The following is a 14,869-nucleotide window of genomic DNA, read 5'->3' as shown; positions in this document are numbered from 1 at the left end:
GCTGAAGTTGAAGAACTGATTTAGGTGAAGCTTCTGTTTCATTCTTGGGGAAGTACCTACTGACTTTTCTCTAAGCCACCTCAAAAGAGGTGCTAGATAAGATGTGCTCCAATGTCTGAACATGTGTGCACAGCTCTAAAGCCAACCTCAGGACACTGAGTCAAAGGTTAGGAGTACAACAGTGAACAACCACTGTCCTCTTTTCAATGAGCTTTGCATTTAATGAGAGAAATAAAAAGAAAAAAAATCATTTTCAACTCAGAATGGTAAGAGTTATGGTGACAGTATGCCTGGGGCAATGGGAGCAAATAGAAGGGGCACCCGATTGGCTAGGTGCAGTTGTTCTTGCCTGTAATCCCAGCACTTTGGGAGGCCAAGGTGGGTGGATCACTTGAGGCCAGGAGTTCGAAAACAGCCTGGCCAACATGGTGAAATCCTGTCTTTACTAAAAATACAAAAAAAATTAGCCAGATGTGGTGGTGGGCACCCGTAATTCCAGATACTCAGAAGGCTGAGGTGGGAGAATTGCTTGAGCCCGGGAGGCGGAGATTGCAGTGAGCCAAGATCGCGCCACTGCACTCCAGCCTGCATGGTCAGAGCGAAACTCCGTCAAAAAAATAAATAAATAAATAAATAAATAAAAGTCCGGAGGTGGGTGGACATGCAATCTCTATCAGGTGGTGAGAAATCTTTCTCCACCACAGGACTCCTCAGTTGAAGACTAGAAAATGGTAGGAATTAGCCAGGTCGATAGGAGAGGTGTGGAAGATCATTCCCAGCAGAGGGAAGAGCACGTGCAAAAATCAAGACGTGAGAGGGTGAGGAGCTGAGAGATGTTCATATAATTCTAAAAAGTGACTAATATAGAGGTAAGTTGGAGCCAAATCTTAAAGGCTCTTTGTCGTGTTTATCCTGTAGACAAAGGGAGACAGTAGATGTTTTTAGGCAGGGGAGTAATGATCCACTTTGTGCTATAAAAAGAGCAGTCTGGCTGGAGGAGAGTGGGAGGTGAGTAGACCAGGTAGGAGGCTGCAATACGCCAAGTGAGACAAGATGGTTGGCTGGACCAAGGCTGTGGCAGTGAGGATGGAGAGGAGACAGTAGACTAACTTGACTGAGAAAGAGGGAGGAATGAAGGAGGAGGCCCAGGTGTTTTGGAAGCTGGGTGGATGGTGGTGTGAATCTGAAGTGGTGAGCCCAGGCAGAAGAGGAAATCAGGAGAGGCAAGGTAAGATGAGGTCAATGCAAGAAAGACAGCCAAGTGGAGATAACAACTGGGCCGTTGGATTCATCAGCCTGGAGTTATACAGAGAGCTCTGGAATGGAAATAAAGAGGAAAGGACTTTGGGAATAGGTGAATCCTCCCAGAATAATGTGTAGAGAAAGGAGAATAGAACACAGAGGACAGAAAAAGGGAAGAGATTCGTTATTAAAACCAACCATCCATCAGACATCTTCCAATAAAACACTTGTTAGAGGTTTCCTCAGTGTGAGTTATTCAGGACCAGAGCTAAAGACCATATTCCCAATGAAATCACTGCGGGGAAGGTCTTCATGAAAACATTGAATGCTGCTTTTAAAACAACAACAACAACAAAAAGGCTTTAGCTACTGCACAGACCCTGGAGCAATTTTTCGGCAAGAGTCTATCAAAAACGAATGTGATCTGACGCAAAGAGGTGTCATATCTAGTGTAAAAATCCAATTCCAATGTCCATAACAGCCTTTCTGCCAGGTACAAGACCCTAATCCAGTTGAAGTGATTTTCTATTGATTAATAGGCTGGGAATACACAGGTTGTTGGTTTTTGAGATTTCCCTCCCTGTACCTTCATGCCAGCTGTGAAAGAGTCAAAAGGCTCCTAACTGTCAAAATAAAAATGACACTTGGTCACAGAGGAAACAGATTATAGGTCAATCACATTGATGACTTTTTAACTATGAGAAGCCATTAATGTTACTGAATAAGCAAATCTGTTTGCATAACCAGATTTTTATAGGCTACTGGGAATAAAGGTTTTCCTAAGTGGGTGATTTGTATAACGATAGCCTTTGGGTCTCTGATGGAACAGCTCTGATGAGGAAATGTTCCTTTAATTATGTGGAAGGCCAATTACCACGTTATAGCCACATTGTTTTGCAGATTGCATATAATTTCACCATTTCCATAGCTTCAGCACTATAATTCTGGAGAAAATTCAGGCACCAAGGAGACACTTGAGGCACACTATGCTGGAGACAAAGATGTTTTAGAGAATTCAATATAAGCTTCAACATTATTTTGTTGAATAAAACATAATGCAATAATGAGCTTGTGTATGTCAACTCTATAGTGGAGGTAATAATAGCTAGAGAGAGCATGTCCCGTCTCCTCTTTTTAATGCTCATTCGAGTAATACATAATGCTATAGAGAGAAACTTTCTCTAATATGCGCTTCATCTCAGGCTAAGCGTGTTTTGGGCAACTGTGCTTCATGAAAAAAAAAAGTAAAGGATCTAATTTGGGAGCCATTCACAAAAGTACTACCAGTTGATGTTTTTTTATACTCTGAGATTTCTTATTCCCAGTGCCTACCAGGAATGGACTTTCTGGAGAAGCTCAGATTAATCACTCCTTATGAGAGGTGACAGCATGCTGGCAGCCCTCACAGCCCTCGTTCGCTCTCGATGCCTCCTCTACCTGGGCTCCCACTTTGGCGGCACTTGAGGAGCCCTTCAGCCCGCAGCTGCACGGTGGGAGCCCCTTTCTGGGCTGGCCAAGGTCGGAGCTGGCTCCCTCAGCTCGCAGGGAGGTGTGGAGAGAGAGACGTGAGCCGGAACCGGGGCTATGCGCGCTACTTGTCTGCCGGCTGGAGTTCCGGGTGGGCGTGGGCTTGGCAGCCCCGCACTAGGATCTGCAGGCCAGCCTGGCCAGCCCGGGCAGTGAGGGGCTTGGCACCTGGGCCAGCAGCTGCTGTGCTCGACTTCTCGCCGGGCCTTAGCTGCCTCCCCGCGGGGCAGGGCTCGGGACCTGCAGCCCGCCATTCCTTAGCCTCCCCCCTCCGTGGGCTCCTGTGCGGCCCGAGCCTCCCCGACGAGCACCGCCCCCTGCTCCATGGCACCCAGTCCCATCGACCACCCAAGGGATGAAGAGTGTGGGCACACGGAGAGGGACTGGCCGGCAGCTCCACCTGCAGCTCCTGTGCGGGATCCACTGGGTGAAGCCAGCTGTGCTCCTGAGTCTGCTGGGGACTTGTAGAACCTTTATGTCTAGCTAAGGGATTATAAATACACCAATCGGCACTCTGTATCTAGCTCAAGGTTTGTAAACACAACAATCAGCACCCTGTGTCTAGCTCAGGGTTTGTGAATGCAACAATCAACACTCTGTATCTAGCCATTATGGTGGGGACTTGGAGAACCTTTGTGTGGACACTCTGTATCTAGCTAATCTAGTGGGGACGTGGGGAGCCATTGTGTCTAGCTCAGGGATTGTAAACGCACCAATCAGTGTCCTGTCAAAACAGACCACTCAGGCTCTCTGTAAAATGGACCAATCAGCAGGATGTGGGTGGGGCCAGGTAAGAGAATAAAAGCAGGCTGCCCGAGCCAGCAGTGGCAACCTGCTGGAGTCCCCTTCCACACTGTGGAAGCTTTGTTCTTTTGCTCTTTGCAATAAATCTTGTTGCTGCTCACTCTTTGGGTCCACACTGCCTTTATGAGCTGTAACACCGAGAAGGTCTGCAGCTTCACTCCTGAAGCCAGCGAGACCATGAACCCACCAGGAGAAATGAACAACTCCAGACGTGCAGCCTTAAGAGCAGTAACACTCTCCATGAAGGTCTGCAGCTTCACTCCTGAACCAGCGAAACCACAAACCCCACCAGAAGGAAGAAACTTCAAACACATCCGAACATCAGAAGGAACAAACTCCAGACACGCCACCTTTAAGAACTGTAACACTCACCAGGAGGGTCTGCGGCTTCATTCTTGAAGTCAGTGAGGCCAAGAACCCACCAATTCTGGACACACTTACACACTTGGCACTGGGAGGTCTGTATGGAGCAAATGAAGAAATCAGCAGAGTGAATATAGAGGGAGAACAACATGATGGGGGAAGGCAAAGTTACTGCCATGTTGGTTTCAATTCTGCCACTCATGAGAGAGACCCATGATCTCCTCTCTCTAGGACTCTGTTGTTCTTATCTGTAGAGTGGAGGAATAGAAGGGCCTTTTAAAGTATTAACATTTCCTGACCAATTTGTAAAACACTTTCATTCAAACTGATGGGAATCTTGACTACTTTGCCAAGAGGACATAATAATCATCAAGCTGAATGCACCAAACAACATTGCCTGAAACTATCTAAGCAAAAACTGAGAAAGTTACACAGGACAGACAAACCTCCTATAAGAGTAAGAACTCTTTAGCACATACTTAGTGTGTCAAAGACAATGCTATGTTCACACCATTCCTCTTCCTGGGCATGCAGAAAGACTACATTTCCCAGCCTCACTTGCAGTTAGTTTGGAACCATGTGACTGCATTTCCGCCAATAGGAATGTAAGAAATCCCTTCTGGGCCAAGGTTATCAAAGGCAAGTGTGAGCTATGTTCCCTCTCTTCCTATCCATATGGCTACAAGTGAAAAACTCTGAGATGGCAGACTAAAAGATGGAAACCTCCAGAATCTCTGAATCACTATTGGACAAGGGCCCCCAAGGAGAACCCCTGCCCTGCACCAGACTATGCTATGGGTGTCAACCCACTGAGAGTTCAGGGTTTATTCGTCTCAGCAGCAGTCTATTCTTACACTGACTAACATCCTAAGGTTTGAGAGATCTAGCATATTGTTAATTGAAGCTAGATTTCAATTACACTGAAAACCTTATCTATTTAAAAATAAAAACTCTCCAAAAAAACCCAAATAATCCACATTCCTTTTAACCACATGTGGCAAATTTGCAAAAAAAAAAAAAAAAACTGGCCACATATTAGGCCATAAAGAAGTCTCAACAAAATCCACTATACGATTGACATTGTCCAGACCACATTTTCCTGACCATAATGCAACAAAATTAGAAGTCAACAGCAAGAAGATAGCTAAACACAAGCATACATTTGGAAAATTAAAAATATCTTTTCATGAGTTAAATGAAAAATCACAATAGAAATTACTAAACATTTACAACTGAACAAAAACACATCTTGATATATATATACATATATATATGTATTTTTTTGTGAGTCTTCCAACTTTATTCTCTTTTATAAGGTTATTTGGTAAATTCTGGGTCTCCTGCAATTCCTCATACAGTTTTATGCTGTTTGTCAATTTCTGTGGCGGGGATGAACTTATCGTAGTTCTCATAGACCAGGGTTTGCATGTCGCTGTCTAGAGCCCGGATCTGCTGCACCATGTCCGTCTCACTGTCCATCAGCTGGGCCAGAGGGCACTCTCTAGGCAGCTTGTCTAGGTAAACTTCCGGGTTGAAGTGTGCCCCGTTCAGATCAGTGGGGTCCAGGGGGTCGGTCCCCGCGAGGAGTCTCACCGCCTCCCCTTCCGAGAGGCCGTTGTAAAGCTTTAACATCCTGTGTGCCTTCCGCCGACGCTCCGTGAGCCTCCCCCTCGGGCCCTTCTGGGGAGTCCCCAGGTCCACACCCCGGGCTAGGCCCAGTGACAGCTGCCGCCGCCATAGCTCCAACTGCAGCCGACGGGCGTAACTTTTTATATTTTTACGTTGGATACATGAAGATACTTGGCTTTTGCTTTCATCACATCGTTGAGGAAAGAGGTGGTTGCTTATGGTACCCCTGTTTTTACTGCAACCTGTAATGGATGAGAACCTCCCTGTTGCAGAGAGCAAAACACTGAACTAAATTGTGTTGTAAAACAGCCCTTTGTTGGGGGATTGGGAGTGATCATGCAAACGCTTGCAAATTTGCACAGTGACAGAGACAATCGTTTGGGCAGCTGTTCACTATATGAAAACGCAATTGACCAAAAGTCAGTTACTGAGCTATCTCAATACTTTCATTTTATTTTAACTTTTGGCAGCAGGGTGCAATTAAAGGAGAGAAAGAAAACAAAGCGATAAGTGTAAGATAATGTACACACATGTGTAAAAGAAAATGACAAGACAGGATGACTATTTGTCTCTTGGTTAGCTCCTTGTGCTCTATGTCTCCTTCCTCAGAGAAAATCGTTTTCCTTTGTCCAGATTTGTTAGGGTGGATAATCCAGGCGCCTGCTCCCCCATGATGGAAGCCAAAGACGTCCCTGGAGCCGCCTCCCGCTGCACCCTTTCCTGCACTGCCCACATGGACACAACTCAGCCGATTAGACTTCCTCTCAGAACTTTAGTCTTGAGCAAAGGGATTAAAGGGCGAAGTGACTGAAGGTATGCCCTTCCAAAGTGGTATGTGAGCTAATGGCTAAAGTTTGCCAAGCCCATCCAATCACTTTTTTTCATAATTTTTATTTATTTATTTTTTTGAGACAGAGTCTTGCTCTGTTGCTCAGGCTGGAGTGCAGTGGCATGTTCTCGGTTCACTGCAACCTCTGTCTCCCGGCTTCAAAGGAGTCTCCTGTCTCAGCCTCCCCAGTAGCTGGGATTACAGGCATACGCCACCATTCCTGGCTAATTGTGTGGGTGTGTGTGTGTATTTTTAGTACAGACAGGGTTTCACCATGTTGGCCAGGCTGGTCTCGAACTCCTGACCTTGTGATTCGCCTGCCTCAGCTTCCCAAAGGGCTGGGATTACACGTGTGAGCCATCGCGCCCAGCTTCAAGAAGTTTTAAGCAGAGCTCAGAGGTCTTAACCACAGACACCTCGGAGGAACATTTTTGAAACACTTTCCAGCTTCCTCAATAGGAATGGAAGCCAAACTCCGAATTGATGACTCCTTTGAGGAAGTCGAGAGCTGTACAGAAAGCCAGGAACAGGGGAAAGGGAGAGATGCGTCCCGAATGATCCTGTGCCAATTCTTTCTGGAATCCTCGATGTGATCTCAGCTGTCCTTTCCATACTTGACACAGTGATTGTGGCACCCACTGGTCTAGCTGTGGTCTACAAGGAACCCCCAAAGGGAGGGGCACAGTGAGCAGGGGCAACCGCCTGAGTGACTAGAATTTGAGAGGGCAGGTTGGTTGCAGGGAGAGGACTGCCCAAATGCCATGTGTCTGGACTTAGACTGCTCGGTTCAAATTGGACTTCACCTTTTTTGACTTCGTGATTTGGTACAAGCTACATGAAAATCCGTTGCGCCTTTTCTAGTCTGTAAAATAATCATGAAATGTGCGCTAATAACATGGAGACTATGCAGATGAAATGAAACAAGCTGCATAGAGCACAGAGCTCAGAGCCTGGCCTTCAGGAAGCCCTCAGTAAGGGTTCATGATGCCATGGTGTCTGTCGTCATCCTCTTTATCCTCATCATCACCTTCATAATCTTTTTGTTGTTCTTAGGGAATAGTTTAGAGGGACTGATTCCCTGCTATCATGGGTGAGATGTCTATGAAAAGGACAACCAGTGGGGGAAGAAAGCAAAATTTTGAATAAGATTTCTGAGACCCCCACCACAACCAAGAACAGAAACTCCACACTCTGCTGAGCAGAGAGTTGCACATTGGTCTCCTTACATCTGCCCACCGCAGTCTCTTGTTTGTCCTGAGGATGAGGAAACAAACAAGGCCCCCAACCGTCCCTCAGCACTCACTTGAAGGGGTGGCCTGCCTCTCCACACCTGTGGGTATTTCTAGTCGGGTGGGACGAGAGACCGAGAAAAGAAATAAGACAGAGAGACAAAGTATGGAGAAACAACAGTGGACCTAGGTGACCAGCACTCAGCATACCAAGGACCTGCATCAGCACAGGCCTCTGAGTTCCCTCAGTTTTTATTGATTATTATTTTTATTATTTTAGCAAAAAGGAATGTAGCAGGAGGGCAGGCTGATAATAAGGAGAAGGTCAGCAAAGAACATGTAAGCAATAGAATCTTTGTCATAAGGAAGTTCAAGGGAAGGTACTATGACTGGACATGTACGTAAGCCAGATTTATGTTTCTCTCCACCCAAACATCTCAGTGGAGTAAAGAATAACAAGGCAACATTGCTGCAAACATGTCTCGCCTCTCACCATAGGGCGGTTTTTCCCCCATCTCAGAATTGAACAAATGTACAATCGGGTTTTATACCAAGACATTCAGTTCCCAGGGGCAGACAGGAGACAGCGGCCTTCCTCTGTCTCAACTGCAAGAGGCTTTCCTCTTTGACTAATCCACCTCAGCACAGACCCTTTACGGGGGTCGGGCTGGGGGACGCTCAGGTCATTCTCCTCCCAAGAGGCCACTTTTCAGACTATCACATGGGGAGAAACCTTGGACAATACTCTGCTTTCAAGAGCAGGGCTCCCTGTGGCTTTCCACAGTGCATTGTGCCGCTGGTTTATTGAGACTAGAGAATGGCGATGACTTTTACCAAGTCTACTGCTTGGAAACATCTTGTTAACAAGGCATGTCCTGCACCCCTAGATCCCTTAAACCTTGATTTCATACAACACATGCTTTTGTGAGCTTCATGTTGGGTCAAAGTGGTTGGTTCAAAGTGACTGGGGCAAAGCTACAGATTAACAACATCTCAGCAAAGCAATTGTTGAAAGTACAGGTCTTTTTCAAAATGGAGTCTCTTATGTCTTTCCTTTCTACATAGACACAGTAAGAGTCTGATCTCTCTTTCTTTTGCCTACACTCGCTGAACTGCCCCTACTCTCTGCTGGGACATGACCACGGAGAACAGGTCCACTGTCCTACCTGCTTGGTGCACCATGGAGGCTCAGACTCTGTCCTCAAGGCTGGCAAGAAGACAGGGTGAGAGATGAGCCCCCGATACAGGTGACGGGAGTGGAGCCCACAGGACTGCAACCTCACACTGCAGGGCTGGAGGCACAGACGGAGTATTTACTATTCTGTGGCCTGGGGGCTCAAGGCACAGAGCTCCTCATTAGCCTAAGTCGCCCAAGTTCCCCAACCTCTAAGGATTTCCTCATAATATTGCAAGAAGAACAGAAAAGTGAGCGTCCACAGAAGCATTGGGGCTCTCCCTCTAATCAGGAGAAAGCTGGAGTGTATTCTTCGCTTCTTTCTTTTCTTTTTAAACATCCAACTGCTTTAATTTTCATCTTTTATTATGGGAAAATATACCACGTATAAATATTAAAAATTGTAAATATGTATTAGTTCATATAGAATGGCCAGTATACACATTTACAATTTCCACTGTTTTTCAGTTTACAGTTTAATGACATTAAGTACATTCACATTGTTTAGAACCATCACCGCCATCGTCTCCGGAACAGTTTTATCTTTCAAAATGGAAATTCTACCCATTCACCAAGCTCTCCATTCCTCTCTCTCGCCCACCCCTGGGGGCCACCTTTCTAGTTTGCAACTCTATGGGTTTCACTACTCTAGACACTTCATAGAAAAGTGGAATCATACCGTGTTTAATTTTTTTGTTTTGGAGACAGAGTCTTTCTCTGTCACCCAGGCTGGAGTGCAGTGGCGTGATGTCACCTCACTGCAACCTCCACATCGTGGGTTCAAGCGATTCTTGTGTCTCAGTCTCCCGAGTAGCTGGGATTACAGTCGTGCGCCACCACGCCCAGATAATTTTTGTATTTTTAATAGAGACGTGCTTTCATCATATTAGCCAGGCTGGTCTCGAACTCCTGACCTGAAGTGATCCGCCTGGCACAGCCTCCCAAAGTGCTGGAGTTACAGGTGCGAGCCACCGAACATGGGCCTGTTTATCCTTTTGGGATTTATTTATTTCACTGACGATAGTGTCTTCAAGGTTCATCCATGTTGCCGCCTGCGTCAGAAGTGCCTCTCTGTGTTTTTTTTGTTTTTTGTTTGTTCGTTTGACTTTGTTTTGTTTTGTGTTTCCATGGAGTCTCACTCTGTCGCACAGGCTGGAGTGCAGTGGCACAATCTGGGCTCACTGCAACCTCCGCTTCCTGGGTTCCAGAGATTCTTGTGCCTCAGCCTCCCGAGTAGCTGGGACTATAGGCACACACCACCACGCTCATCTCATTTTTTGCATTTTGAGTAGAGACAGGGTGTCACCAAGATGGCCAGGCTGGTCTTGAATTCCTGACCTCAGGTGATCCGTCCACCTCGGTCTTCCAAGACGCTGCGATTACAGGCGTGAGCCACCGCACCGGCCAGAAGTGTCTGCCTTTTCAAGGCTGAATAGTCTTCCATTGTATGAAGGAACTGCAGTGTGCTTTTTCATTCATCTGTCCACAAACCCTTGGGTTGCTTCCACATTTTGGCTGTTGTGAATAATGCTGCTATGAATATGGGTGTACACAAATCTGTCTTCCACTCCTGGCTTCTAATTCTTTTTGGTAGGTACCCACAAATGTAACTGCGGGAACATCTGATCATTCTAATTTTTCCAGTACATGCCATGCCATTTTCCCCATTCCTTCATGGTTTTACATTCCCTCCGATCATATTCGAGCATTCCTATTTCCCTCTAGTCTCTCCAATGCTTGTTTGTTTATCATATCCATCCTAATGTTTGGTAACACATTCTTGGTTTGATTTGCGCTTCCCTAGGATGAGTGATTTTGAACATCATTTTAGATGCTTATTGGCCATTGCAATATCTTCTTTAGGGACACGTCTACTTGAGTCTTCTGACCATTGTTGATGGGATGCTTTGGGTTTCTTGTTTAGTTCTAGCTGTTCTTTATATATGATGGATATCAACCTCTTTTCAGATATATGCTTTGCAAATATTTTTCCTAATTCATGGGTTATCTTTTCACTCAGTTCGCAGTGTTTTTTGCTGCACAAAAGTGTCTGTCATGTAGATGTAATCCAAGGAATATAATTTTCTTTGTTGCCTATGCTTTTGGTGTCATATCCCAGAGAACATTGCCCAATCTGATGTCATGAAAGCGTGGCCAATGTTTTCTTTAAGGCATATGACACTTTTAGCGCTTGGGGTGAGGTCTTTGATCCAGTTTGTGTGAATTTTTGCACCTGGTGTGACATAGGGTCCACCTTCATTCTTCTGCATGTGGAAATCAAGTTTCTCCAACACCATTTCTTGAAAAGGCTGCTTTTCCACCAATGAGCTTTCTTAGCACTCATGTGAAAAATCATTTGAACATATAGGTGGGAAGGTATTTCTGGGCTCCAAAACAAACAAACAACAATAGACAACAGATAAGGATACAGCATGGGCAGGGCGCGGTCGCTCACCCCTGTAATCCCAGCACTTTGGGAGGCCGAAGCTGGCAGGTCACCTGAGGTCAAGAGTTGAAGACCAGCCTGACCGACAGGGAGAAACCCCCGTCTCTACTAGAAATACAACATTAGCTGGGCGGGCTGGCACATGCCTGTAATCGCAGCTACTCGGGAGGTGGAGGCAGGAGAATCACTTGAACCCAGGAGGCAGAGGTTGCGGTGAGCCAAGATTGCACCATGACACTTCAGCCTGGGCAACAAGAGCGAAACTCCATCTCAAAACAAAAAAAAAAAACAAGCATGATTTCAAGAGCAGAAAGAGAAGAGCTTAAAAAGAAGCATAATGAGAAAGTTAGGAAGTTTCTTACCAAACCATCTGGAAATATGCAAGAAATTCTTGTGAACTAAAATTTTCATACTGTACTATCAAACGCTAGAACTCACTTATTCCATCTTTCTGTATTTCGGGACCCAATTATCCACTTGTCTTCATTCCCCATCCCACCCCTTTTCTTCGTAGCGCCTGCTAACCACGTTTATACTTTCCACCTTCCTCAGATTCCTTTTGTGTGTAGGTGTATGATGGAGTCTCTTTCTGTTGCCCAGGTTGGAGTACACAGGCACAATCCGGGCTCCCTGCAAGCTCCGCCTCCCGAGTTCAAGAGCTTCTTGGGCCTCCGCCCTCTGAGTAGCTGAGACTACAGGCACGCGTCACCAAGCCCGAGTAATTGTTTGTTTTTTCCGTAGAGACGGGGTTTCACCATGTTGGCCAAGCGGGTCTCGAACTCCTGGACTCAAGTGATCCGTGCGACTCGGCTTCCCACAGTGCTGGGATTACAGGCCTGAGCCACCACACCTGGCCAAGGTTTCCTTTTTTCTTCCTACGTAGAAGTGAGGACAGGAAATATTTGTCATTCTGTGCCGGGCTTCTTTCATTTAATATACAGACCTGCAATCTCATCCATTTTGTCTGCAGCAGAGAGGATGTTCTTCCTTTTTAGGCTGAATAATACTTCATTGGGTGTGTATACCACAGTTTCTTCATTGAAACAAATTTCTAAAAAGCACATATTTTTAAAGACTTGGAATGTGAAACTTCACGGATACTGTGCCTATTTTATTCTTTTCTATTTCCCATCTTATGTATATGCAAGTGTATAACAAAGCAGGAATCAATGTGTGTATAAATCTATAACTTCCACAAATGTAAAATGTAAATGCTAAGTGGTGGCTGGGCGCGGTAGCTCATGCCTGTAATCCCAGCATTTTGGGAGGCGGAAGCGGGCAGATCACCTGAGGTCGGGAGTTCAAGACCAGCCTGACCAAAATGGAGAAACACTGTCTCTATTAACAATACAAAAAAAAAAAAAAATAGCCAGGCCTGGTAGCGCATGCCTGTAATCCCAGCTACTTGGAAGGCTGAGACAGGAGAATTGCTTGAATACGGGAGGCAGAGGTTGCAGTGAGCCGAAACCGTGCCATTGAATTCCAGCCTGGGCATCAAGAGTGAAACTCTGACTCAAAAAAAAAGGAAAAGAAAGAAATAGAAAATGCGAAATGGTAACAAAAAACAGCATAATAAACATTTGTATGGTGTTGATGGACAATGCATTTGAACATAATATTTGAAGAAATCATATAACAATTAATTTCTATTCTTACTCATTGGAGCTTCATGCCTCTAAAAACTTCGTCATTGGAACCACCTCTGGGGCTTTAAAAGAAAAAAAAAAAATCCGCATACTCACACAGGTTCAAGGAAATCAGAATCTCAGGTATTGAGACCCAGGCCTCATCATGTGTAAGCTCCCCAGGTGATTTGACTCAAAGCCAAGATTGAGGAACGGCGACATGGATCTCTACACATAACCTGCCTAAATAGATTCTCTAGAAGCAGTTTGTAAAGTAATTCCACATGAACTGTGGAAGAGGATATGAATTTGATGTACAGTATGTCCTCACTTAACATCTTTGAAAGTCTCTTGGAAACTTCAACTTGAAGCAAAATTATGTATAGTGAAACCGCTTATTTTTCATCAACAGTATAACTACACAACTGTGAACAACCAATACTGTTGGAGGACCTCCTGTACATTGTTTCCATAAAGTCAGTTTTCAGGGAATTCCAAAACGAAGTGAGGACTTCGTGTATATAAAAAGATGGTAGTGATTCCACCTGGATGACAGGGTTATTGCTCAGAAACTAAAAGAGGCCGCCTAGGTAGAGAGGATTCTGTCATGAGGTTTCTGCTAAACAAAGGATCACAGAATCCTCACCCATTCCAGTTAAAGGCATAACGAAGAAAGCAATATTCACAAAGGAAATGCGGAAAGGAATAAAAGCCATCAAGCCACAAAAATAATGTGACTAAGGGGCAGGATTTGCAGATGTAGAGATTCAATGTGGTTGCCCTTTCTCACCCACACCAGAAAAAGGATGGAACAGATCATGAGATTCGACTGTTCTGCTGCGCAGCCTCCGCAGGGCACTTTGTATGTCCCTGTTTCTCAGGCTGTAGATGAAAAGGTTCAGCATGGGGGTGACCACAGCTTACATCACTGACACCACCACACCATTCCTGGGGGTTGGTGACATAGCTGAAGCCAGGTACATGTCAATGCCTGTTCCATAAAATCAGCAAACAAATGCTAGGTGAGAGCCATAGGTGGAGAAAGTTTTATACTTCCCATCTGACGATGACATCCTTAGAATGGAGGGGACAATTTTATAGTAAGATGAAAGGATCCCTGAAATAGGAAGAAAACCAAACATTGTACTATCGAAATATATGAATATGCTATTGATGACGCTGTCATAAGAGGCAAGTTTGAGAAGTTGAGAGGGGTCACAGACAAAATTAGAGATTTCCACATTCTTGATGATGGTGAATTGTAACACAATCCAACTGTGCAGCTGGGAATCCAACAGGCTAAGGAAAAAGGACACCAAAACAAAGAAGACACAGAGATGAGGATTCACGATGACTGGGTAGTGCAGAGGGCGATAGATGCCTACAAAGCAGTCATAGGCCATTACAGTCAGGAGCATGCCTTCTATACATGCAAAAAGGACCAAGAAAGACATCTGTGTCAGGCAGCCCGCATGAGAGATGACTCTGCTATACCACTGCATGTCCACAATCATCTTGGGAACCGTGGCCGAGGTGAAACCGATGTCAGCCCAGCACAGGATGGAGAGGAAGAAGTACGTGGGGGTGTGGAGGTGGGAGTCAGAGCTGACAGCCGGGATGCTGAGCAGGTTCCTCAGCACTGTGACCAGATACATGGACAGGGACAGGGACAGCAAAGCGAGGACCGGCTGCAGTTCTGGATCCTCTGAGAGTCCCAGGAGGAGGAATTCTCAGACACCTGTGAGATTCCGTGGCTCTGTGTGTCTTGGACACCTTGAGAAGGAAAGAGGATTGGAAAAATAAAAGATAAAAACCAGCCCTTAATGCTGGATGCAAGCAATTCACAAGGAACATCTTGACACTTGCGGACCATACACCGCCAGCAATGTTTCTCAGCTGTGACAATTCCAAAAATCTCAGAATTATTACATGATTTACTTTTTTGCTATACAAGGCTTTCTGTACACACTACTTTAGAGAAAATCCACTGGAGAATATTAG

The 14,869-nt window shown here is 45.4% G+C and overlaps 1 protein-coding gene and 1 pseudogene across 1 annotated transcript in view, besides 1 other annotated feature; both read right to left on the bottom strand.

The window, feature by feature from the left end:
- LOC112267908 (translation initiation factor IF-2-like) overlaps positions 1–5,568 on the bottom strand; it is a 92,138-nt gene extending 86,570 nt beyond the window's left edge. Inside the window, exons 1-2 of the mRNA XM_047449437.1 lie at positions 5,333–5,568; positions 4,015–4,033 (exon numbers count right to left, since the gene is read on the bottom strand). Coding sequence (XP_047305393.1) covers positions 4,015–4,033; positions 5,333–5,568 — 255 coding nt within the window. The remainder of the gene's footprint in view (positions 1–4,014; positions 4,034–5,332) is intronic.
- Positions 3,407–3,607: a silencer, noted in NCBI's record as "peak4810 fragment used in MPRA reporter construct". NCBI's record gives its function as "represses an SCP1 promoter by STARR-seq MPRAs in K562 erythroleukemia cells {active_cell/tissue: K562}" and the evidence as "EXISTENCE:reporter gene assay evidence [ECO:0000049][PMID:32103011]".
- On the bottom strand, positions 13,661–14,631 carry OR7E97P (olfactory receptor family 7 subfamily E member 97 pseudogene; annotated as a pseudogene).

Source organism: Homo sapiens, chromosome 3, assembly GCF_000001405.40.
Source record: "Homo sapiens chromosome 3, GRCh38.p14 Primary Assembly".
Classification (NCBI taxonomy): domain Eukaryota; kingdom Metazoa; phylum Chordata; class Mammalia; order Primates; family Hominidae; genus Homo; species Homo sapiens.
This window is presented reverse-complemented; position numbering and strand designations above follow the sequence as displayed.